Source organism: Homo sapiens, chromosome X (assembly GCF_000001405.40).
Source record: "Homo sapiens chromosome X, GRCh38.p14 Primary Assembly".
Classification (NCBI taxonomy): Eukaryota; Metazoa; Chordata; class Mammalia; order Primates; family Hominidae; genus Homo; species Homo sapiens.
In genome coordinates, this window is record NC_000023.11 from 146853975 (window position 1) to 146879293 (window position 25319).

The 25319-nt window shown below is 38.3% G+C and overlaps 1 long non-coding RNA gene across 1 annotated transcript in view; it reads left to right on the top strand.

Annotated features, from left to right (window-relative positions):
• The first annotated feature begins 575 nt into the window (after positions 1–575).
• The window catches only part of LOC101928832 (uncharacterized), a 100762-nt gene continuing 76018 nt past the window's right edge, over positions 576–25319 (top strand). Inside the window, exon 1 of the long non-coding RNA XR_001755969.2 lies at positions 576–694. This is a non-coding gene — a long non-coding RNA (uncharacterized LOC101928832). The remainder of the gene's footprint in view (positions 695–25319) is intronic.

The window sequence follows — 25319 nt, forward strand, 5'->3', positions numbered from 1 at the left end:
GCCTGGTCTTCAATGTGGGTGCCTGAGACGTTGGGCTGAGTAGGGTTTTATTGTTGAAATTATTACCTTCAGTGTACTATGGTCTTTAAATTCCTCTAGTGTTACTGTGTATTTAGGCTGAAAACTCATTTTCCAGAAGATTATTTTCTTAATGTCTGGTCCACCTTCAGCTGGAGGTCTTCTCTTTTGCCCGTGTCTCAAAGTAGGCTGCAGCCTTCTCTTTTGACCCTCTCCCAGCGGGAGGTTGCTGTTACTTGTTACATGAAGCTGGCTAGGCTGGTGATAGAGGGTGGAGAGTATTCTCTGGTGTTCTGGTTCAGTCTGAGTTTTAGGCAGGCTCGGTGTCTCCCTTGATCTTACAGTAGGGCATTATTGATCCTGTTCCTTCCACAGCAGTAGACTCTATTTTTCTTGGCCATGAATGTGTTTCTGCCCTTTCCCTAGGTATAGAGGGATTTCTCTGTTCCCTTTACCCAGCTGCAATTTGTCTTCATCTGTGCCTGAGGGTGACAGTGCTTGTTGTCATTCCTCTAGTGAATTAAGGCTTTTGTTCCCTAGGGGGAAGAGGGGAAGATAATTCATATGGAGCATCACACCAGCTATCTCCTGCTCCCTGTCCTGCACTGCAAAGGAGGCCTTTTCATCCTCTCTACTGCCTCCAATTTTTCTCACGAGGAATGTGAGAGGAAAACCTGTAAGTAGATGTGAACTTCCCTTGTTTGTAAGGCTCCAGAGGTTTCTATACTCTCATGCTAGGTCTCCTACGGTAGAATTACAAGTCATAAATATTATATTTTTTTCAAATATACTCATTTAAAGTGATTTAAATTTCTCTCTAAACCCAGCTTTAGCTGTATCCCAAAATTTGATATACTTTATTTCCATTCACTTCAGACTAATTTCTTTTGTATATTTTTTTTGACCCAGGTTTGTTTAGAAGTATACTTGTAATTTCCAAATATGCTGGATTTTCTAGATATCTTATTATAATTTTTACTTTAACTCTGTTGTTGTCATACAGTACACTGTATATGATATCAAACCTTCTAACTTATTAATTCAATATCATGTTGGTCATAGATTATATTCTACATAATGTTGATGCTTTGAAATTTATTAAAATTTGTTTTGGGTCTCAGAATATGCTCCATCTTGACGAATGTTGCATGTCTCCACAAGAAGAATATGTATTCTGCTTTTCTGTGGTATACTGTCCTATAATGTAAAGTAGGTAAATTTATGGTTTCACTCTATCCCCACCCCAATCTCATCTTGATTTATAGTTCCCATAAATCCCATGTGTTGTGAATCATGGGGGTCGTTTCCCTCATAATGTTCTCATGGTAGTGAATAAGTCTCACGAGATAGGATGTTCTTATAAGGGGTTTCCCCTTTCACTTAGCTCTCATTATCTCTTTGCCTGCCACCACGTAAGATGTGCCTTTCACCTTCCACCATGATTATGAGCCCTCCCCAGCCATGTGGAACTGTGAGTCCATTAAACCTCTTTTCCTTTATAAATTACCCAGTCTTGGGTATGTCTTTATCAGCAGTGTAAAAATGGACTGATACTGTTGATAATGTTGTTATAGTCTTATATGATTTCATGGCTCTTATACTTGATGATTTTGTTCTCTATTTGTAATAAATTACTGAGAGGTAGGTGGTTAAATTTCCAACCATGATTGTAAACTTGTCTATGTCTTTCTTTGTTCCTCATTTTTTTTTTGTTTCATGTATTTTGAAACTCTGTTTTTAGTTTAATAATGATTTAATATTGTTATATGTTCTTGATGAATTGATCCTTTTTATATCACTTCTACTTGTTCTTCTCTATATTTAGTAACAATTTTTATCTTTAATTTTACTTTTTAATTAATATAGCCATAGAATCTTTATTATGCTTAGGATTTCATAGCATAATCTTTACACCCACTTACTTGCAACTTATAGTATATTTATATTTAAAGAGCATTTTTGTAATACAGTGATCTGTTTCTTTTCTATCAAGTCTGATAATCTGTGCATTTTTATTAGCTTGCTCAGCCAATTTATATTTAATCACATTATTAAAGTCCCTTAATTTAAATTATGTCATTTATTGCTATTTGTTTTTTATTTATATAATTTCTTTTGATTTTTCTGTTCCTTTTTTCCTATCTACTTTTGGACAAATCAATAATTTTTTAGTATTTCATTTTAGTTGCTCTGAGAATGTTTTAGGTGTCGCTCTTTGTGTTCTTTTATTGGTCATTCCATAAGTTTCAATGCATATTTTAATATTATGATAATTTATTTTTAAAAATTACTTTAAGAACAATACAGCAAACTTAAAATAGTACAATTCCATTTATCTCTCCTCCTCTCCTTTGTGATTTTGCTGCTTTATATTTTTCTACAGTGCTATGAAATTCACAGGACATTGTTTTTGTTCTTGTTTAAATAATTAACAATTAAAATATATGTCATATTTTTAAAAGGTATTTTATATTTACTGACATATATACGGTTTATATTGCTGCTGCTTCTTATCCCAGAACTAGAATTCCATGTAAAATTATTTTCTTTAACTTGGGAATTATAATTTAGCATTTATTAAGGTGCTGGTCTGCTGAAGACAAATTATCTGAGAATTTGAAATTCTGAAAATATCTTCCCTTTACCTTCAGTTATTAAGCATGTTTTTACTGGAGATAGATTCTAGGTTCATTTCCCCCCATACTTCAAATATAGCTTCCCGTATTGGAGGCCTCTGCCCTCCATTATTTACATTGAAAAGGCAACTGTTATTTGTAGCCCTGCTTCCATGTTTATATTGTACCTGTATTCTCTTGCTGTTTTTAACAGTTGCTGTTTGCTGCTCATTTTCAGTCCTCTCTCCTTTGAAGAAAGTTTTGCCCATATCAATAAGGATAAGAAAGGAAAGATAAGATTGAATTAACTATCATTCTCTAAGTGATAATTAACTACCACAGCAGTAAACGATCATACTCTAAACTCTCCCAATTATAGTGGGGACTTTGCACCTATGTAATGACAGGGTCTTTTGGGAGTGATTATTCTTTCCCCTTATACAAGGTCCCTTCTTTATGACACTAAGATGCAGTAACTGAGAGTAATTGTTTTGTCCCCACCCTACCTGGTAGATTTTGCTCCCCCTAACCCTTATACACATGCCTGTTTTCATTCTGGCTACAGAAGAGGTTCCTTTTTGCCTTCTTTAATCAGAGTCCTGCATTAAGAAGGCAAATGTTTAAGCACCAATCTGTAGCATATGCCATCATAGGATTATTCCTATTAGAACACCAAGTAGAGATCACACTCAGAAACCACTACAGGAAAAGTTGATGCAGTAAAATTTTTAAATGATTTTTGCAAATACCAACTTGATGTATTGGTATTGCACTCTTTCCAACTTAACATTTATTTTGAAACAGCGTAGACAATAACTTCACTCCTACAGTAAACTCATGCTTATCTTAGCACTAAGTCCATGACCTGGTACCCCTCTGGAACAGCTCCAATTAACATCAAGCTCATGGCTACTTTTCAACACTGTTTCAACCACCTTCCGGTTGGTCTCAGGGGGAGCACCCACTCCAGGGTATGTAGAGACCCATGATTGAAATTTCAGAACTAAACTTTTGTTTTGCTTTTCATCTTCCTTTGTGAAAGTTGCAGAGTACCACATGTTGACCTCTGATAAAAAGCAAGTTAAAAATAGAATTTTCTCAGTGAAAGGCATCTGAGGACAAAAAATAACTCCCTAATAACTAGGAATAAAAAATATACAAGAGCAGATTAATATCTTGATTCCCAGGGCCAGAGGGCTTACCAAATTCTAATGGACCTATTCTCAAATTAGATGTCTTTGCTGGATTATGTAACTGCATTAATTCGCCACTTCATCTTAAAATGAGTTCATTTTTGGTGAAAGATTCGTGAAGGGATTAAATGGAAGTGACAATAATAAACTGAATAAAGCTCACAGTGCCAATTGCAAAGCTCAAAACTTGGCCAAAGGGAGAAATATGACGTGGTTAATACCACCTAAAGGCTACCTTAATTGACAAGTTTTTTGAAAAAAAAAAGTAACTTTCTGCACTTGGCTAGATGTTTTTATTTCTCTGTGTCCTCCTAGGAGATTTAGGAGGAAGTAGACAAGAATTAGGGTCCTTAGCACATTTTAAATATGTCAGCAGCCATCCCCTACCTATGGTTCAGCCTGGGAAAGAAAGAAACCAAGACATTTAAAAAGAGTTTATGAGAAATCTTTTCATCATCCCTCTTGGAGATTGTCTTCAAATGGGTCTTCTTTAAATCTGTGATAAGACAAGATGCTTTTTTGTACTTAATGTAGGCATGACTGAAATTAAGAGCAGGAGAAGTACGTCCAGTTTCAAGTATACAGGAAGGCAACAGGATCAGGCTTTTAGTACATGCTTAAAAGCGTTGTCTTTCTATGAGAGTTTTCATGTAAGTAGAACTTGAGATTGAGTGATAACTTTCTGATCTTCCTTTGTTGCGGAGCTAGTAGAGGCTGTTAAATGGTGTTCTCATATAGCTCTGAAAACAAAACAAAACAAAACAAAAAAGCTCTGAAGGACCGGCAACAGTATCATTTGCTGCCATAAACTTCAGTGTGCATTCCAATGAACAGCAACAAGGCAGTAAATAGTCAAGATATTTTGATTCTTGTCACTCTTATTTGAGATACATGTGACTTAAGGTACCTGCAGTTTTCATCAACGTTTGCAGCCTTTATATCACTGACTGCTAACAGAGTACTATCAGAAACCTATTACAGAGATGAGAATGGTTTTATGTTCAGTTGCAGCATTCTAAAAGATGTAACACCACTTGTACATTTCATCATCTCAATTCAAAATACTCTAGTGACAAAGTGTCAGTAGTACACACTTCCCATTGAAAAAAATGGCTTGAAACTAGATTTTTGGTAAAAACAGCAGAAATGGAAAAGTGTACTGTACATGTGTAAATTTAAAATTGTCCAGGTGCTGGTGATTATCAATTAATTTTTGCTTAGATATGCAATTATAGTCCTTCCAATTAGAGTTAACATTAAAATATTATAATCCTGCCTTCTATGTATATTATAGAAGCTGGTTTTATAAACCTATATAAATGGGAAATTATTACTAAAACAAAAGTAAATAAAACGAAGATAAAATAATTTTGGGAAATTCTTTTGAGTTTAGAATTTCAAGTATATAGAAAACGGACAGCAAAAGCTGGAAAAATATTTCAGAAAAAGATAAAGGTACTTTTAGCTGACCTTTATCTTAATTAAATATGATTCATTGCTATAAAGAGAGAATTGAACATTTTTAAGTCTCCTTCAAAGTAGAAATTTGTAAATCAATATTTAGTAAGGTTATTTTAAAAGTTTAAAAATTCTGATCTGTATTATGAACCTCAAATACCTGAGACAGGTCCCAGTCAATTTAGAAAGTTTATTTTGCTGAGGTTAAAGTTGCACACCCATGATACAGCCTCAGGAGGTCCTGACAACATGTGCCCAAGGTGGTCGGGCACACCTTGGTTTTATACATTTAGGGAGACATGAAACGTCAATCAATACATGTAAGATGTACATTGGTTCACTCCAGAAAAGTGAGACAATGCGAAACAGGGAGGGGGCTTCCTAGTAAGACAAAGAGTTGCATTCTTTTGATTTTCTTTCCAAAGGAAACAATCAGATATGCATTTATCTCAGTGAGCAGAAGGATGCCTTTGAATAGAATGGGAGGCAGGTTTGCCCTAAGCAGTTCCCAGCTGGACATTTCCCTTTAGCTTAATGATTTGGGGGTCCCAAAATTTATTTTCCTTTCGTATTTCCCTGTTTTTCCTTTTAAAATCATTCAAAGAAAGCATTTTAGAAGAAAATAAGTCTCTGTTCTCAGGCTTCATCTGATCTCTCATGGCTAGGATAGTTTATTCCTAGACAGGTAGGTCCCACATATTTAGAAAAGCTCATTTTTAGCAGGTTGTGAAGTCTCACATCCTACAAAGATAAAATAGGGGGAGGAAGAAAGAAAAACAACAACAAACAAAAAAAGAACAATCCTGGAAAATCATTATAGGCCATGTTACCCTGAAGTCCATACATCAGTAGACAGAGATGAAAGTGTCTTATGTATGTAAATAGGTTGCTGTTATTTTCTTCTATGGTTTAAGTTGTCTAGCTTCAGTTCATAGAGCTTTAAGAAAGCACAGCTTAATTTTCAGTGATTTCAAATTAGGAAAAATGAGGGGTGCGGAAAAGGAAAAGAAAGAAGGAAAAAAAATAAGAACGTTATTTTGGAGACTTGTAGCCAGGAAAAATTTTAGAATTCATTCCAACTGTAGAAAATAATACAAATTGAATACATTAGACAAGACTAGACTCTGACAACAGTTGTACTATAGTTTTTGAAACATAATTTTTCTCTCTCCAGTTTCCTGTTTTTACTAAAGACAAACCTGGGTAAGACCAATTTCCTTTATTATACTTGCCCTGATTATTTGTCTAAAGTGCAGCAAGAATAATTATTTTTTAAGATGGCTTTGATGGAACTTTGTTCCACAGAAGGACTCTCAGATAAGACTTTTGTAAAGCTGAGCACAGCCATGGCTTTGTACCACCGCATACCTATGAGTTAGGCAAATTCCTCTTCTCTTGAGGTCTCAAGATAACTTGGGGTTCTTGGGCTTGTCAGAAAATGACATTCTTTACTTACCAGAGGCCAGTAATCCTGGACAGGGACTGTGTAGACAACACAGAAGGCCAGTTTTCCCAAGGGGCTTTTATTGGCTCTGTAAGTCAATTTTGATTCCTTAAAGGAAAGCACACCATTCCAGTCAAAGCCTTGGTAAAATAACCAGTTTCTCCAATGCTGTCCTGTTGCAAAAAGAAATCATTCTTATTGAACTTATGCAAATAACTATATTGCCATAAGTTAAGAATACTCACAAACAGTTTCCAAATTCTGGAGAAATCATGTAGAGAGAAACAAATATGCTCCAAATTTTGTTCACAAAAGTACACTTTACTCAATTGTTAAAAGCTGCCAATAGCTCAAAAAAAAGTGTCCTTGACTCTGAAAAACTAAACAAAGGATCAGCAATGTTTTAAGCAAAAAAGTCAAAAAGATTACTTCAGTCCTTTATTAGTTCAGTCCATGCAGTTAACTCCTGTTCTGTTTGATATTCATAAACATTCCGGCTCTCCATGAGTACTGAAAGCTTTTCCTCTATTCTAATATCACAATCTCCAAAGTTATCACAACCCTACATTCAAGAACACCTCCTAGAGTTTCATAGCTGATTATAAAACCACCTTGTAAAGAGGACCAAATTAAGACAATTGTCCATGGATGGCAAAAAGTTTTAGGGCAGCCATAGTCAAAGATACAATTGACAAGGAAATTTGTTACTTCTGTTGCACACAATAATTTAACATAACAATTATAATTATTAATAACATATACTAACTCATATCAGAATTATAGGAGTTTCCCATAATTTTGGAACACATACCAATAACATTTATGTAAATACAGCCTAAAGAAAGCCAAACACCATTTCATATTTGACAATACTTCCAGTATGATTTTTACACAAAATAAGCTGAATATGTCTCTTTTGGACTTCAGGGGACTAATATCAAAACACATGAAAAAATGCTCATCATCACTGGCCATCAGAGAAATGCAAATCAAAACCACTATGAGATATCATCTCACACCAGTTAGAATGGCAATCATTAAAAAGTCAGGAAACAACAGGTGCTGGAGAGGATGTGGAGAAATAGGAACACTTTTACACTGTTGGTGGGACTGTCAACTAGTTCAACCATTGTGGAAGTCAGTGTGGCGATTCCTCAGGGATCTAGAACTAGAAATACCATTTGACCCAGCCATCCCATTACTGGGTATATACCCAAAGGACTATAAATCATGCTGCTATAAAGACACATGCACACGTATGTTTATTGCGGCATTATTCACAATAGCAAAGACTTGGAACCAACCCAAATGTCCAACAATGATAGACTGGATTAAGAAAATGTGGCACATAGACACCATGGAATACTATGCAGCCATAAAAAATGATGAGTTCATGTCCTTTGTAGGGACATGGATGAAATTGGAAACCATCATTCTCAGTAAACTATCGCAAGAACAAAAAACCAAACACCGCATATTCTCACGCATAGGTGGGAATTGAACAATGAGATCACATGGACACAGGAAGGGGAATATCACACTCTGGGGACTGTGGTGGGGTCGGGGGAGGGGGGAGGGATAGCGCTGGGAGATATACCTAATGCTAGATGACACGTTAGTGGGTGCAGCGCACCAGCATGGCACATGTATACATATGTAACTAACCTGCACAATGTGCACATGTACCCTAAAACTTAAAGTATAATAAAAAAAAAAAAAAATTAAAAAAAAAAAATTAATGAGAACCCAATTTAGAATTTGACTTTGGAAAGTTTGTCAAATATGAAAAGTTTAAAAGGCTTGATATCATAAAATAGGATCACAGATCATTGTGAAATAAAGTATTCATTTAACCAAAATGATCATTCAAATTTTTTTTTAAATAAAAAAACCTTTATTCTTTGAGAGAGGAGACTTAATTTCCAAAACAATAAGCCTTAATAAAAACAGCATGAGACCAATTAAATTTGTTTTCAAAATTTTATAAGCAATCTATACAATTTTAGTCATTTTGACCTAAGATATACTTTTCATAAGCCTTTTTATAACCTTTATAACCTTTATTAAGGAATGGGTTAATGCTCCAAGAAAACCTTGTTAATCTGACACAGGGGCCTATATACTGGACTTTCATCAGTGTGCCTTTGACATTAATGGTTAATTTATAGAGAAACAGAGCTTATTTTATCTCTCAAAATTGGCTCTCACACTCTCACATGCCCACTTCTTCCATGATAGTCCTAGGTCTTGAGGAGTTTTAATTTCTGGCCCTGTGTCTCATAAACACAGTTTATTGTGATTGGTATCTTCTACCAGGTCTGAAAATGAGGCTGTAACTGTGGTCAGTGTTTAAGATTTAGCAGGATTTAGTGTCCTTTTGAGACCCAGGGGTCAAAGCCCTGTAACTTAATGACACAAAAACTTTAAAAGCACATATAGGAAGTTATCCAGAGATAATAACCTTAATTTATTATTTTTTTAATCTACAGTTTTTTTAAGCAAACCAAACTTACTAATAATAACACAGGAATTTTTTCAATAAATAATAAGATTTGTTTATTAGGTCAATTACTCAAAGGAAAACAAAAGACCTACTGCAGTGCAACCGCTCTTCCCTATGGGGAATATTATGTTGGAAAGAAATATGTCCTTTGGACCTCTAAGATAAATGTTTTTCTTTTTGTTTTTTAATCAGTTAGAACCCAAAGGAAGAAAAAAAAGAAAAGAAAAAAATTTTTACAGGAGCTGAAAATGATCTGAAGGATACAGTTATTTTTTCAGGCCTTTGAAAAAGGGAGAGAAAGCTGAAAACAGCAAGATGCGATAAAAGTTAAACTTTGATTAAAAAAATTATAATGTCTTGTAATTTATTAAGAGTAAAGCAATGCCTTAAGAAAATTTTATAGTTCAAACCAATTTTTTAGTGTATAAGTGTTTTTTAAATTAAAACCCAATCTCTAGAAAGACCATTATAACATCCCTTTAATTGTAGACTACTTGACAATATAAAAGTTTTGGATTTTCAAAATAAATTCTCTTATTATGACTTACACAGACCGTTCATGACATGCTTGGACTTCCTGGTTTGTCCTAAACATTGCTTTCTTAAACAACCAGTCATTGTATTCTAGGAAAAAATTTACCAAACAAGATTCTTTCTCATATAAAATTATTTCTCTTTAAGCTTTCTTACCAAACAATAACTCTTTATTTCTATAACTTTCTTTACATCTCTCTTATTTTCTGTTTCCTCTTACCTTGTTTTTTACATAATCTTTAAATAAGCTGTGAATTAGACAAAAAAATTCACCTGTTTTAAAAGGACACACATTTTTTAGAAATAATGTTTTCCTGTGATATTTATTATTTGGAAATACCCAAATAATGAAATATATGTTATTTAATTTACTATAACTTTAGATTCTAAATTATGACAAGTTTGTCTACAAGTATTTATCCCATCACATTTACCTAATTATTTTATTTTATAGTTTATCTATATTCTTTATGAAAACTGTGATAGTTATCATTTAAAGTTATGAAACCACCATTGCAAAATTGTAACTGAGAAAGTGAAAAAGATATGACCAATTGACGCCATCTTGCTTCTAACCTCCAAGCTGACCTTGTTCATTCCTGGGCATAGGTCTAACTAACTTTGTGAGGAAGTTAGTTTAAAGTTTAGCTTTGAAACTAAGATGACAACAGTCTTTCCCTGAAACAAATCCCATTTTGGCTGGGAGACTAGACATTTTAAAGCCACAAAATTAGAAGTTATGGTTATTTTACTAAATAGTTTAAGGTTTAGCTATTTTCATTAAACCTTTATTCATGTCTTATTTGTCAAAAATTACACAAGCAAAGATCATTCTGTTTTGGGCTGGGTTTATAGTTTTGTAACACTTACGCAAAATTTTGACACCTAATAGTATTTGGCAGGGATAAGTGTGAAATCACTTGATCAATAAATTCAAACAAAAATGTATGCTGGCAATTCTTAAGACATTTCTAATACTACTTTACCAATAATTTTAAAGCTAGCTTATTTATTAAAGATTTTACTTAAGTCACATAAACTTGAAAAAGCATATGACTGGTCTTTCTTTGATTTAAGCTCTTGTATTTTTCTTAAGCCAATTAATTAGAGCTCTTTTGTATATATTTAGCAGTGAAACATTGTGTACAGAACACATAGATACATAGATGTATTAGACATGCCTATAGAAGTACATCTTATAGATTTATAAGACCTCTTTTTTTATTTTCAAATTTTAAATTCTTGATAACCTGTTTCATTACCCTTGGCAATTGTTACCCTACATCACTTTAAATTTGCATATTGAAGGAAATAACTCGTAGGTGAAAAATCAGATAGTAAAATTTACATCACAAAGTAGAGAGAGAAAAAGTCTAGTGTACTAGAGGGTAATTAAAACTGATTTAATTGAAATTTAAACATAAAAGTATAGAAATCTATCATAAAGGCCTTTTAAATATATATATACCCACACGTACACACCCTCACACACAAAGGTCCCATAACTTATGCTTCAGAACCCTAGCCATAAGATAATACAAATTTGGAAAACAAAACAAAAACAAAAACAAAAAACATTTGGATCCAAACAGTGTTTTTATCTCAGTGGAAAAGTAACATTAGCTTTAAAGCAGGCAGAAAATAAAATAAAGGAAAAAGGTAACTTAGGAACTCTATAGTTTGCAGGTTGACCTTAGGGCTCTTTTTGCTTGATGTAAATGTACACAAAGACCATAATATTTCCATTTTACACAAACTCTAGGAAGTAGAGGCACCATAAAACTAGCAGAGTGCCCCAAAGGGGGACATTCTCCTTGTTTTCTCCTCATTCTTAGATTGTTTCCCACTTTTGTTTCTTTCTTAAAAGAATAAACTGAACTGTGGTCTAGGGTTTTCGTGGAGTGGGTCCAAGTGTGTGCTGGTTGCAAGCAGGACTTCACAGTGTCACCAGTGAGTTATTACCACCCTCTTGCATGTCCCAGTTTCTCTCTCCAGAGGTCTAAGCACCTCCAGGAGGGCTCAAAGCGCTGAGTGAACAGCTCCTATATGTGCTTCCTGGACAAGCCTTTTTTAAACTAAATGTATTGGGAATTTCCTGTAGGGCCACTGCGTGTCATGGTGTGTCCGGAATTGGTGGGTTCTTGGTCTCACTGACTTCACGAATGAAGCCGCGGACCCTGGCAGTGACTGTTACAGCTCTTAAGATGGCACATCTGGAGTTTGTTCCTTCTGATGTTCGGATGTGTTTGGAGTTTCTTCCTTCTGGTTAGTTCGTGGTCTCGCTGGCTCAGGAGTGAAGCTGCAGACCTTCGTGGTGAGTGTTACAGCTCTTAAGGCGGAGCATCTGGAGTTGTTCGTTCCTCCCAGTGGGCTCGTGGGCTCGCTGGCTTCAGGAATGAAGCTGCAGACTTTTGCAGTGAGTGTTACAGCTCATAAAAGCAGTGCGGACCCAAAGAGTGAGCAGTAGCAAGATTTATTGCAAAGAGCTAAAAAACAAAGCTTCCACAGTGTGGAAGGGGACCGGAGCGGGTTGCCACTGCTGGCTCCCGCAGCCTGCTTTTATTCTCTTATCTGGCCCCACCCACATCCTGCTGATTGGTAGAGCCCAGTGGTCTGTTTTGACAGGGGCTGATTGGTGCCTTTACAATCCCTGAGCTAGACACAAAGGTTCTCCACCTCCCCACCAGATTAGCTAGATACAGAGTTTCAACACACAGGTTCTCCAAGGCCCCACCAGAGTAGCTAGATACAGAGTGTCGATTGGTGCATTCACAAACGCAGAGCTAGACACAGGGTGCTGATTGGTGTGTTTACAAACCTTGAGCTAGATACAGAGTGCCGATTGTTGTGTTTACAATCCCTGAGCTAGACATAAAGGTTCTCCAAGGCCCCACCAGAGTAGCTAGATACAGAGTGTCCATTGGTGCATTCACAAACCCTGAGCTAGACACAGGGTGCTGATTGGTGTGGTTACAAATCTTGAGCTAGATACAGAGTGCCCATTGGTATAATTACAATCCCTGAGCTAGTCATAAAGGTTCTCCACATCCCCACCAGACTCAGGAGCCCAGCTGGCTTCACCCAGTGGATCCCGCACAGGGGCTGCAGGTGGAGCTGCCTGCCAGTCCCGCGCCGTGCACCCACACTCCTCAGCCCTTGGGTGGTCGATGGGACTGGGCGCTGTGGAGCAGGGGGCGGCGCTCATCGGGGAGGCTGGGGCCGCACAGGAACCCACAGAGCGGGTGGGAGGCTCAGGCATGGCAGGCTGCAGGTCCCGAGCCCTGCCCCGCGGGAAGGCAGCTAAGGCCCAGTGACAAATCGAGCGCAGCCCCGGTGGGCTGGCACTGCTGGGGGACCCAGTACACCCTCTGCAGCCGCTGGCCCGGGTGCTAAGCCCCTCACTGCCCGGGGCCGGCAGGGCCAGCCGGCTGCTCCGAGTGTGGGCCTGCCAAGCCCACGCCCACCTGGAACTCCAGCTGGCCCGCAAGCGCGCGCAGCCCTGGTTACCACTCACGCCTCTCCCTCCACACCTCCCTGCAAGCTGAGGGAGCCGGCTCTGGCCTTGGCCAGCCCAGAAAGGTGCTCCCACAGTGCAGCAGTGGGCTTAAGGGCTCCTCAAGTGCCGCCAAAGTGGGAGCCCAGACAGAGGAGGCGCTGAGAGCGAGCCAGGGCTGTGAGGACTGCCAGCATGCTGTCACCTCTCAGTGGGAAGGTCAAACCCCTGACACTCTCATGAGGCCCCTGTTCACCAAGAAGCACCTTTCGGCTGGGAGGAGCAAAATGCCCTTTCTCTTTGGAGCTGAGGAAACTCAGTCTCTTATTTACGTGTGAAAACAACAGTTCAATTCTTCACACAAATGTTCACAGACAAGCCAAATCGAGATTAATTTGGGGAGAAAAAGCAATGGAGAAGTCCCTTTGGAAAGCATCTCTGAACCAGAAGGAGGATTCTTAAACAACAACTTCCTAAGAAAAAAAAGAAAAAAAAAAAAACAGCCAAGACCACTTCCTGTATTTTGTAGCCCTTGTCTGCCATTACATACACCAAGGTCAAATCCTCTCACAGTACAAGGTAATCTCTAGTACCCCCAAAGCCAAATAGGTCAGGTAATGCAATACAGGAAAGCAGAGCTTTAGACCTAAGAAGAATCTGCTCATGACTCTTGAAACTCCACAAAGAAAACAGAACACCCCAAAAGGGGTGAGTGGTACTTTGTTCTGAGTTCTTTAAGGGATTTGAGTCACTAGAAGCCTTCTCTATATTTTTCTTGGTACTGAAGACAGCAAAGGAGATATAGGGTGGAAGAAAAGTAAACAAAGTAACAATTTTTTTAAGACAAGAAGGAAACACAGAAACCAAGCACATGGTTTTATCTCCCTCTTTTTGCAGCTGAGAGGAATTTTAGCTAATTCAGAGAGGCCTTGTTACCCATAATTTGGAATTCTCATTTGGATTTTGTCAAGTCAGGTAGAGTTAGTCAAATCTGACTGCAGAAAGACCAGAAGAAACAACAAAAAATCCCCTACAATATGATCACTGAGCACTTTAATGGTTAGGAGAAATTAAAATCAGCTGGTTGTTAATCTTAACTTTAGCCAAGACATAAATAAACCCCAATTCAGTTACTTACCTAGGGATGGGTCTCAGGCTGAAGACTGCTCTCTACCACACTAGAAGCGGGAGAAAACTTAAACCTGCCTTCCCCATTGGAAGTGAGCTCAAACTCCAGAAAGGAGTTACCTGCCTTCCATTATCATGAAAGCAGGAAAACTTGCCTTTCTGTTGGAGGCAAGTAAAACTCCAAAAAAAAAAAGGTGTTGTATAGTAAAATAAACTTTAGATCTCAACTAAATTTGAGGAGATCAGGGATTTTCTGGAGGTGGGGGCTTCCAGGCCTCAGCAAATTGTCCTATTGGTTTGAGCCATAAAGATAGCTAAAACTGGTACCAAACACCAATAAAAGGTTTGTCAAAGTTCAGGGGCACCTCCACTCAGAATCCCTCCATGGTTAACAAATGTGAACCCCAAATATCTGAGACAGGTCTCAGTCAATTTAGAAAATTAATTTTGCCAAGGTTAAGGACACAGGCCCATGGCACAGCCTCAGGAGGTCCTGATGATGTGTTCCCAAGGTCGTCAGGGCATAGCTCGGTTTCATACATTTTAGGGAGACATGATATTAACAGTGGAAGGTATCTGAGTTACCAGCAGCAAGTCTATATGGGTCTGCAACAACCTCAATTCTTGCCTCCTCAGAAGAAGGAATTTGCCTGAGGGGCATAAAGCAGAAAAAGAGACCAAGCCGAGATTCAGAGCAAGATTGGAAGTTTATTTTAAAAAGGCTTTAGAACAGAAAAGAAAGAAAGAAAAGTATGCTTGGAAGAGATCCAAGTAAGCACTGAGGTCAAGTGCAGTGTTTAACCTTGATTCTAGGACTTTATAGGCTGGCCCCTTTCCCATGATTGTTCCCTTAGGGTGGGCTCCCTTCATGCCCAGTGCCCTCTTTACCCTTGGAAGGTGAGCACGTGCAATGTGTTTAGGTAGTTGTATGCATGCCCTTCTGAGCCTTTCTTCCCTTCTCCAGTGGTGTGCCCCTGGAAGGTCATACTCTGCTATTTTGTCACTTAATGCACATGCCGGGGAAGTTGTGTCTTGCTGGTGCCTGCATTCAGTTAACTCTTTAGTGCAAGACCATCAGGAAATGACCTCTCCCTGACACCGGCTGCCAATTATTCACTTTTAGAGAGGCAGTGTGATCATTGTCAAACCATCACCTGGCATTCCTAGTGGCTGGGAGAAGAGACCTCTCCTGCCCCGCCCGTGCATGCCTGTCTAACTACCTGTAACAACTAGATAACAATCAATATATGTAAGATGTACATTGGTTTGGTCTGGAAAGATGGGACAACTCGAAGCAGGGAGGGGGCTTCCAAGTAAGCGACAAAGGGTTGCATTCTTTTGAGTTTCTGATTAGCCCTTCCAAAGGAAACAATCAGATATGCGTTTATCTCAGTGAGCAGAGGGATGACTTTGAATGGAATGGGAGGCAGGTTTTCCCTAAGCAGTTCCCAGCTTGACTTTTCCCTTTAGTTTACTGATTTGGGGAGTCCCAAGATTTATTTTCCTTTCATAGTATTATCCCTCCATGTATGTTGCAAATGCATTAAAAATTCCCTAAAAGGGTTTATACCTGAATGGGGAAAAATAGCTTTAACTCCAATTTAAATAAAAAAGCAGGATTAAATACAGAATATTCAATAGGAGCATTTTCTAAATTGAAAACTGTAAGTCTTTCTGAAATATAAACCCTAAATTGTAATATTTCTTGGTCTAATCCTTATTCTGTACTATAAATCAAAGCTTTATCCAGGGAACACAAATGCAAATAGAAATGAGTTTATGATTCTGAGATGGTTTAAAGATGAGTAAAATCCAGGATGAGGTTAAAAAATCTGAGTATATATTTAGATTCTAAAATGCTGAAGTCAAGTAGCAGTTTTCTGCGTTAAATTCAAATTTCATTCAGGGGCCCTATCAAGTTGCATCCCTTTCTCCTGTTTCTCACATTCCAGTTACAGTCAACTCCTTGCTTTCTGTCCTGTGAAGCAATGCCTCCAGGTACCTTTCCAGGACAGAACATTCTTTCAGTGTAGGAAGATTTTGTCAGGAAGCATTCTTAGTTAACCCCATTCTGCCCATTCATGTTCTTATTGTGAGTTGACTTAATTTGCTGCTATAGGGGAAGAAAAATATTTTTTCAACCCTCATAAATTCTTATTTGGAATTAACCCCTGTAACAAAAGACACATTAACAAGAGAAAAAAAATAGTTTACTAATATGAACATTTCATATATGCATGGGAGATATCAGAGGAATGAGTAGTTCTCAAAGAGTGGCTTTGAGTTCCAGCTTATGTAGAATCTTCAACAAAGAACAGTAAATTTTCAGACAAGTGACAAGACACAGGGAAAGGACTTTGCCTCTCCATGGGTGTCAACCTGTGGAAAGGCAAATAACTGGCAGATAAAGGCTAGTTAGTAAAGCTGCTTCTTCTTTTTTTTTTTTTTTGAGATGGAGTCTTGCTCTGTCGCCCAGGCTGGAGTACAGTGGCGCAATCTCGGCTCACTGCAAGCTCCGCCTCCCGGGTTCATGTCATTCTCCTGCCTCAGTCTCCTGGGTAGCTGGGACTACAGGTGCCCGCTACCACACCCAGCTAATTTTTTGTATTTTTAGTAGAGATGGGGTTTCACCATGTTAGCCAGGATGGTCTCGATCTCCTGACCTTGTGATCCGCCCGCCTCGGCCTCCCAAAGTGCTGGGATTACAGGCTTGAGCCACCGCGCCCTGGGCAGTAAAGCTTCTTAATATAAATTCCTCTGGCACCATCTCCAGGCAAATAAAGGTCTTATGTTTCCTTCAGTGGTTTACCATTGTTCTCTCTAGGGTGTGTGGAGTTGGGAGGGTGAACCTTTTGTCTTTGTAATTCTATGTCTTGCTTTTAGGCAAATGGAGGGTAGAAAGCTCTTCTGCATGGGCTTCTTGTTAATTGCTGTCAGCTCAAAAATCCTTCATATTTGGGGGTGACATATTCTGGTCTCCCACACTCCAAAATGGCTTCCTGTAACACCAATTTATTTGGTGCTGATTATGTGCAATTTTTAAAAATAAGTAGCCTACTGGAACATAAGAAATAATCATCTTTATCCACAATATCCAAATGCCACATTCTCCATAGAGCTTTCTCTGTTCACCTACTTGGAATTACATTCCACATTTTTTCATCTTTATAATTACTTTGCAACTTTTGCTAATTTATATTTATTATGCTATGTGTTGTGGTTACTTGTTTGTGTGTGTGAGACATATTTCTGGGTTTATATTTAAATAGAATTAAAATAATAAGAGTAATCTATATTTTGCTTGCTTGCTCTTTTCTTCTACCTGGTAATTCAAATCCCAGACTTCTACAAAGATCTCATTCTCACTTATATCTGAGAAAACCAATGGAGTAGGTCATGGATGCTTATGAATGAAATCTGTGTTACTATATGATAGTGACCATGTGACTTCTTATTCTCTGAATTTTCTCCCATTAATCACCACTGATGCTGACAAATTAGAGGTTGGTCTAAGATTTCTAAGAGTCCTTAATATTCTTGTATTCTTGTGTTAATAGCTTTTTCAGTTTCTTCTTGCAGCCTTCTCTAACCTAGAGCTCAGAAATCAGTTTACTGAAAAAGGACAGAGAATAAAAATTGAGACAAGCACTCTACTGTTCTCCACGTTCATTCAAGCACTCACAGGCTTAACATAATTGTGTATATATATTTCTGCCTTTCTGCTCCAACCAGGCCAAAATTTAAACCCAGCCATTTCTAAATTTAGGGAGTGAATGTGGCTGATATGGAAGCCACGGCCTCTGGTATACAACTGTACCCTAAAGAGCCTTTGAACTCTGTAGACTCTGAGGATACTGTCTTCTGCATCTGCATGTCCAACAGCAACCAGCACAGTGCTTGGCATATACAATGTGCTCAATATATCTAGGTTGAATAAATGCGTTATCTCCAATGACTTGTAATGTAAATTCTATGAGTAATAGAGTCTTACTACAGTTCTTTAATTTACCCACATATATAGTGCCATAATCTATAAAAAGCTGCCTTTGAGTTAAGAGATTTCAATTTTAAAACAGAAAATTGTAATTGTGTAATAAATGCTAGAGATATAGTCTTCATACTGATTTTAAAACCCACATTACTCTCATGTGATTATATTTACTCTACTTTTCTTCCTAGTTCAAACTCTTGAAATGTGGCCTATGTTTTTCTTCTTTACATCCTCAAATCCTATCCTCTGCAAAACCTACTGCAATTTGGCTTTTGCTTTAACCGCACACTAAAATTGTGCTTACCAAGGTCACCAAAATCATCCTAATTGCTTAATCCAATAAACAGCCTTCATTCCATGCCTTAGTTGAGCACTTTACACAAGTTGATTAAGTGAACAATAATTCTATCTTTAAAATATTTATTTCTTGGTTTACATGAGACTGTATTACATGATATACTTACACGATACAGAAAGGTGGCTCAAATAATGGCAGAGATTAAATTTCCTGATAGCCAAGATAGGTGTTTGAAGCACCTTTAATATGATTTAGAGAAATTTTAAAATGTAATTTATCATTTCTCCAAAAGGTTAGTATAATTTATACTAAATATATTATACTTTATATATATTACAAGGCCCATAAGCAAGAGAGAGTATGGCATATGTTATATACTTAAAGTAATTCAGAACCTTAGCAGTGTAGTGTAGTCTAATCTAAGAGCTGGCAAATAATTAGGTAGCAAATTATGGAAGAAAGGAGGTGGAAGGTTTTCTGAGTGCATCTCAGTCCTAAGAGACATCGTGTGAAAGAGTAGTTGGAGAAAAAATATGACATGTCTGAGTAACTTCAAGAAATGTGTTGTTCATGAACTATTTCCAGTAGCATTTTGATAACAAAATTTGAAACATAAAAGAGAGAACTGGGTTGGAGATGTGAAAGGAAAATAAATCTTTGGACCCCGAAATCACTAAGTTAAAGGGAAAAGTCAAGCTGGGAACTGCTTAGGGCAAACCTACCTCCTTCACAATTTGCCTAAAGGAAATTACTTGTGGACAAAGGACAGATAGAACTCAAAGTCATCCCTCTGAGGCTCACCTGAGACAAATATATATCTGATTGCTTCCTCTGCCATATTGTTTATGTAAAAATGCAGATTCATGGAGATAGACTAAATTGTATATTCAGTAGAAAGCTGATCAAGGATTCAAAAGAATGCATCCTTTTGTCTCTTACCTACTTCTAACCTGGAAGCTCCCACTTCCAGTTGTCCCACCTTACTGGACTGAACTAATGAACACATTACACATATTGAATGATGTCTTATGTCACTCTAAAATGTATAAAAGCAAGTTGTACCCCGACCACCATGAGCACATGTCATCAGGACTTCCAGAGGCTGTGTCACAGCTGTGTCCTTACTTTGGCAAAATAATATTCCCAAATTAACTGAGACTTGTGTCCGATATTTGGGGTTCACAGAGAGTTGGTATTTATCAGCTTATATTAATAGAAAATATGAGAATATTTACAGAGAAGAGAAAAGGTCTTAGGACAAATTTATCAATACTTAAAGATGGAGAAAGAGCTGAAGGCTGCAAAATGATAAAGAAAGAGACACTAGAGGAATGAGAAAGAATCAGGAGAATATCCTATCAAGTAAGCCAAGAAATGAATATTTTAAAGACAGAGTTGTTGTTAACTTAATCAACATCTGTAAAGGGCTCAACCAAGGCATGTAATGAAGACTGTTTATTACATTTAGCAATTAGGATGACTTTGGTGACCCTAGCAAGCACAATTATAATGTGTAGTTAAAGCAAAAGCCAAATTGCAGTAGGTTTTGGAGAGGATAAGATTTAAGGATATAGAGAAGAAAAACATAGGACACATTTCAAGAGTTCGAACTAGAAAGGAAAGTAAATACAATCACATGAGAGTGATGTGGGTTTCAAGATTACTGTATGGAGACCATATCTCCATATTCCCTCTGCTTACATGGGTTTAAAATAATTTCAGGTTTACATTTTGCTACCAAAAAAGGGGGAGGGGACCCTGTTCTTAGTTATAATTGTTGTCCTAGAAATACTTATTATCCAAGTTCATGTAGTCCATTTAACATGGAAATTACCAATGTTTTTGTGCCAAGCATGTGAACAGGGATCTTCTCTTTAGCTCCCAAGGATATGGGACTTGGTATTAATTCTTGACCACCTGCTACTTGATATAGTTTGGCTGTGTCCCCACCCAAATCTCATCTTGAATTGTAGCTTCCATAATCCCCACATGTCCTAGGAGGGACCTGATGGGAGGTAATTGAAATATGGGGTCAGGTCTTTCCCATGCTGTTCTCCTGATAGTGAATAAGTCTCACGAGATCTGATGCTTTTATAAAGGGCAGTTCCCTTGCTCACACTCTCTTGCCTGCCACCATGTAAGAAGTGCCTTTGCTTCTCTTTTGCCTTCCGCCATGATTGTGAGGCCTCCTCAGCGATGTGAAACTGTGATTCCATTAAACTTCTTCCCTTTATAAATAACCCAGTCTTGGGTATGTGATTATTAGCAGCATGAGAACAGATTAATACAGTAAATTGGTACCAGGTAGTGGGGCACTGCTGTAAAGATATCCAAAAATGTGGAAGCAACTTTGGAACTGGGTAACAGACAGAAGTTGGAACAGTCTGGGGGGATCAGAACAATACAGGAATATGTGGGAAAGTTTGAAACTTCTTAGAGACTTGAAGGGCTCAGAAGACAGAAAGATGTGGGAAAGTTGGGAACTTCCTAGAGACTTGTTGAATGGCTTTGAGCAAAATGCTGATAGTGATATGGACAATAAAATCCAGGCTGAGGTGGTCTCAGATGGAGATGAGGAACTTCTTGGGAACTGGGACAAAGGTGATTCTTGTTATGCCTTAGCAAAGAGACTGGTGGTATTTTACCCCTCCCTGCCCTAGAGATCTGTGGGACTTTGAACTTGAGAGAGATGATTTAGGGCATCTGGTGGAAGAAATTTCTAAGGAGCAAAGTGTTCAAGAGGAAGCAGAGCATAAAAGTTTGAAAGATTTGCAATCTGAGGATGTGATACAAAAGAAAAACCCATTTTCTAGGGAGAAATTCATGCTGGCAGCAGAAATTTGCATAAGTAACCAGGCACCAGATGCTAATCACCAAGACAATGAGAAAAATATCTCCAGGGCATGTCAGATACCTTTGCATCAACCCTTCCCCTCAGAGGCCTGGAGGCCTAGGAGAGAAAAATTGTTTCCTGGGCTGGGTCCAGGGACCCCCTGCTGTGTGCAGACTCTGGACTTGATGCCCTGCATCACCACCACTCCAGGCTCAAGCCATGGCTAAAAGGGGCCAAGGTACAGCTTGGGCTGTGCCTTCTGAGGATGCAAGCCCAAGGTATTGGCAGCTTTCATGTAGTGTTGAGCCTGTGGGTGCACAGAAATCAAGTATTGATGTTTGGGAACCTCTGCCTAGATTTCATAGAATATATGGAAATGCCTGGATGTCCAGGCAGAGGTGTGATGCAGGGGCAGAGCCCTCATGGAGAACCTCTGCTAGGGTAGTGCAGAGTGGAAATGTGGGGTGGGAGCCCTCACACAGAGTTCCCACTAGGGCACTGCCTAGTGGAGCTGTGAGAAAAGGGCCACCATCCTTCAGACCATAGAATGGTAGATCCACCTGCAGCTTGCACCATGTGCCTGGAAAAGCTGCAGACACTCAATGCAAGCCCATGAAAGCAGCTGGGAGTGGGGCTGTACCCTGCAAAGCCGCAGGGGTGGAGCTGCCCAAGACCATGGGAACCCAGCTCTTGCATCAGCGTGACCTGGATGTAAGACATGAAGTCAAAGGAGATTATTTTGGAGCTTTAAGATTTGACTGCCCTGCTGGATTTTGGGCTGGCATGAAGCCAGTAGCCCCTTCATTTTGGCCATTTTTTTCCATTTGGAATGGGTGTATTTACCCATTGCCTGTACCCCCATTGTATCTAGGCAGTAACTAACTTGCTTTTGATTTTACAGGCTCATATGCCTGTAAAAGGAACTTGCCTTTTCTCAGATGAGACTTTGGACTGTGGAGTTTTGAGTTAAGACTTTGGTGGACTGTTGGGAAGGCATAATTGGTTTTGAAATGTGAGGCCATGAGATTTGGGAGGAGGCCAGGGCTGGAATGATATGGTTTGGCTCTGTGTTTCCACCCAAATTGTATCTGTAATTGTAGCTCCCAAATCCCCACATGTCATGGGAAGGACCTGGTAGCAGGTAATTGAATCTTGGGGGCAGGTTTTTCCTGTGCTTTTCTCCTGACAGTGAATACATCCTATGAGATCTAATGGTTTTATAAGGGGGAGTTCCCCGTACATGCTGTCTTGCCTGCCACCATGTAAGACATGCCTTTGCTTCTGCTTTGCCTTCCACCATGATTGTGAGGCCTCTTGAGCCAGTGGAACTATGTGTCCATTAAACCTCTTTTTTTTATAAATTACCCAGGCTCAGGTATGTATTTATTAGCAGTGTGAGAACAGACTAATACACTATCCCTCCCACTCCATATGCATATATGGTTATACCACTTATTCAGAGGTTCCCTCACCACTTAGGATGCTGTGCTGGAGTTAAACCTAAGTTCCCTAGCATTCTTATAAACCCCAATCTCTAGTTCCACCCAATCTTTCTAGGAAAATCACCATCTCCTCACAATATTCAGACCATTTACCTTTGCTTTATTCAGAGAATTAGCATCCATACGTTTTTATCTTGAAAATATTCACCACAATCTTCTTTAAAGGATTTGACACATAAAGAATCGTAACTTTCCTGCAAACGTGTTACTGGAGATATGAGTATAGATGTAGTGAACTCACTCCTGTATAAACGAACATGGGCCCTTCTCTTCCATGGTTGGGGGAAAGAAGTGCCTTAGTTTTTATTTATTAAGAAACCAAATGCTTACATACTATGGGTAGAAATGTAGATTACCTCAGCCACTGTGGAAAGCAGTTTGTAGATTTCTCAAAGAACTTAGAACTATCATTCCAGCCAGCAATCCTGTTACTGGGTATATATCCAAAGGAATATAAATTGTTCTACCATAAAGACTCATGCACACATATGTTGATTGCAGCACTATTCACAATAGCAAAGACATGGAATTAACTTAGAAGCCCATCAAGGGTGGACTGGACGAAGACAATGTGGTACATATAGCCATGGAATACTACGCAGCTATACAAAATGAGATGATGGCCTTTGCTGCTACATGGATGCAGTCAGAGTCCATTACCCTAAGCAAATTAATGTAGGAACAGAAAGCCAAATATTGGGAGTTTTCACTTATCCATGGGAGCTAAACATTGAGTACTCATGAACATAAAGATGGGAATAATAGACTCTAGGGACTACTGAAGTGGGGAGACAGAGAGAAGAGCAAGGGCTGAAAAACTACCTAACAGGTACTATGCTCACAACCTGTTCAGTTGCCATGCAGAGGTGTTTTTCACTTGGCATTTTTCTAGGTCCCAGACTCCATAATCTACCAATTACATGACCTTATCTAACTTGTTTCTTCGAGAGATGAACCCTTCAATGTCTTTCACAGTCTTTCAAAGAATCTGAAGAACTGATATGAATCAAATCAAACCACTAAAAGCCTGGTGCTTAACCATTGCCCTGAGATCTAATCTGGGAGTGGACAAATATTTGTTATATTTCTGATAAGGTACACACTAGCTGTGACTTTTAGCAAAGTCAACTTCAATATTTGATACTCATTTTTCTCCTTCATAAGATAAATATAATAGTATACATTTCAAAGCATTGTTATGATGATTAAATGAGATTATAAATAAAATTGAGCATTTACCATAAACCTGGTACATAGTAAAGGGCCAATAAAATGTAGCTATATAATTATTTACTAAAACTTTATTTTGATGATATAGTCCATAATTTCCTCTGCAAAATTCTCATAGTTAGAACTCCATGACTAGAACTTTTAAAACAATTCTGTACTATATCCTCAGAGGAGTGACAGCGAATTCTTCAAAATGTTTTTCCAAAACCTAGGCTCTCAGAAGGAGGAAGCTCATGTTATTTTTTCCGGCCCAATCGCGAGTTGGTTGCATAAATTATCTTCAAGGCAATAATGTCTTTTTACTCTGCGTATTTTTACGTTAAATTAATGCAAATGAACAATAACATGAAGATATAATTAAGCACAGTATCTAAGAAATAAGGAGATGTAGCCAGGCACAGTGGCACATGCCTGTAATCCTAAAGCTTTGGGAGGTCTAGGGAGGAGGATTGCTTTAGGCCAGGAGTTTGAGACTAGCCTGGGCAACATAGACAGCCCCTTTCTCTACAGGAAGAAAAAAAAAATAGCTGGGCATTGTAACTAGTCCCAACTTCTTGGGAGGCTGAGACAGGAGGATTGCTTCAGCCCGGGAGTGCAAGGCTGCAGTAATTTAGGATTTGTCACTGAACTCCAGCCTGGGTAACAAAGCGACATGTTGTCTCTAAAAAAATAATTAATTAAAAGAAAACAATAAACAAATCCAGTGAGTAATTCCAATTGGACTGGTTTTACAACCTCATGATAGTGAGATTTAGGAGAAAATAATAAATTCCTTTATGAAGAACAAATATTTAGGCCCTACAGTCAATTCTCTCAATTCTATGTTCCAATGTTTGCAAATATACCCTCACTGTAGCTTATTAGAGTGTGACCATCTGTGATACTTTTGCAGATTCTTAAACAATTGCCACATTTCAAAGGTCATACATGGAAAGTGATTAAGAATTCTTAGACAAAAATCAGCATTGATTTTAATAATATTATTTACAAAGGCTATTTTCGTAGGGTGACTTTTATGAGACAAGTATATTACAGTTGGCCCTCCATAGTTGTATGTTCCACATCTGCAGATTCAAACT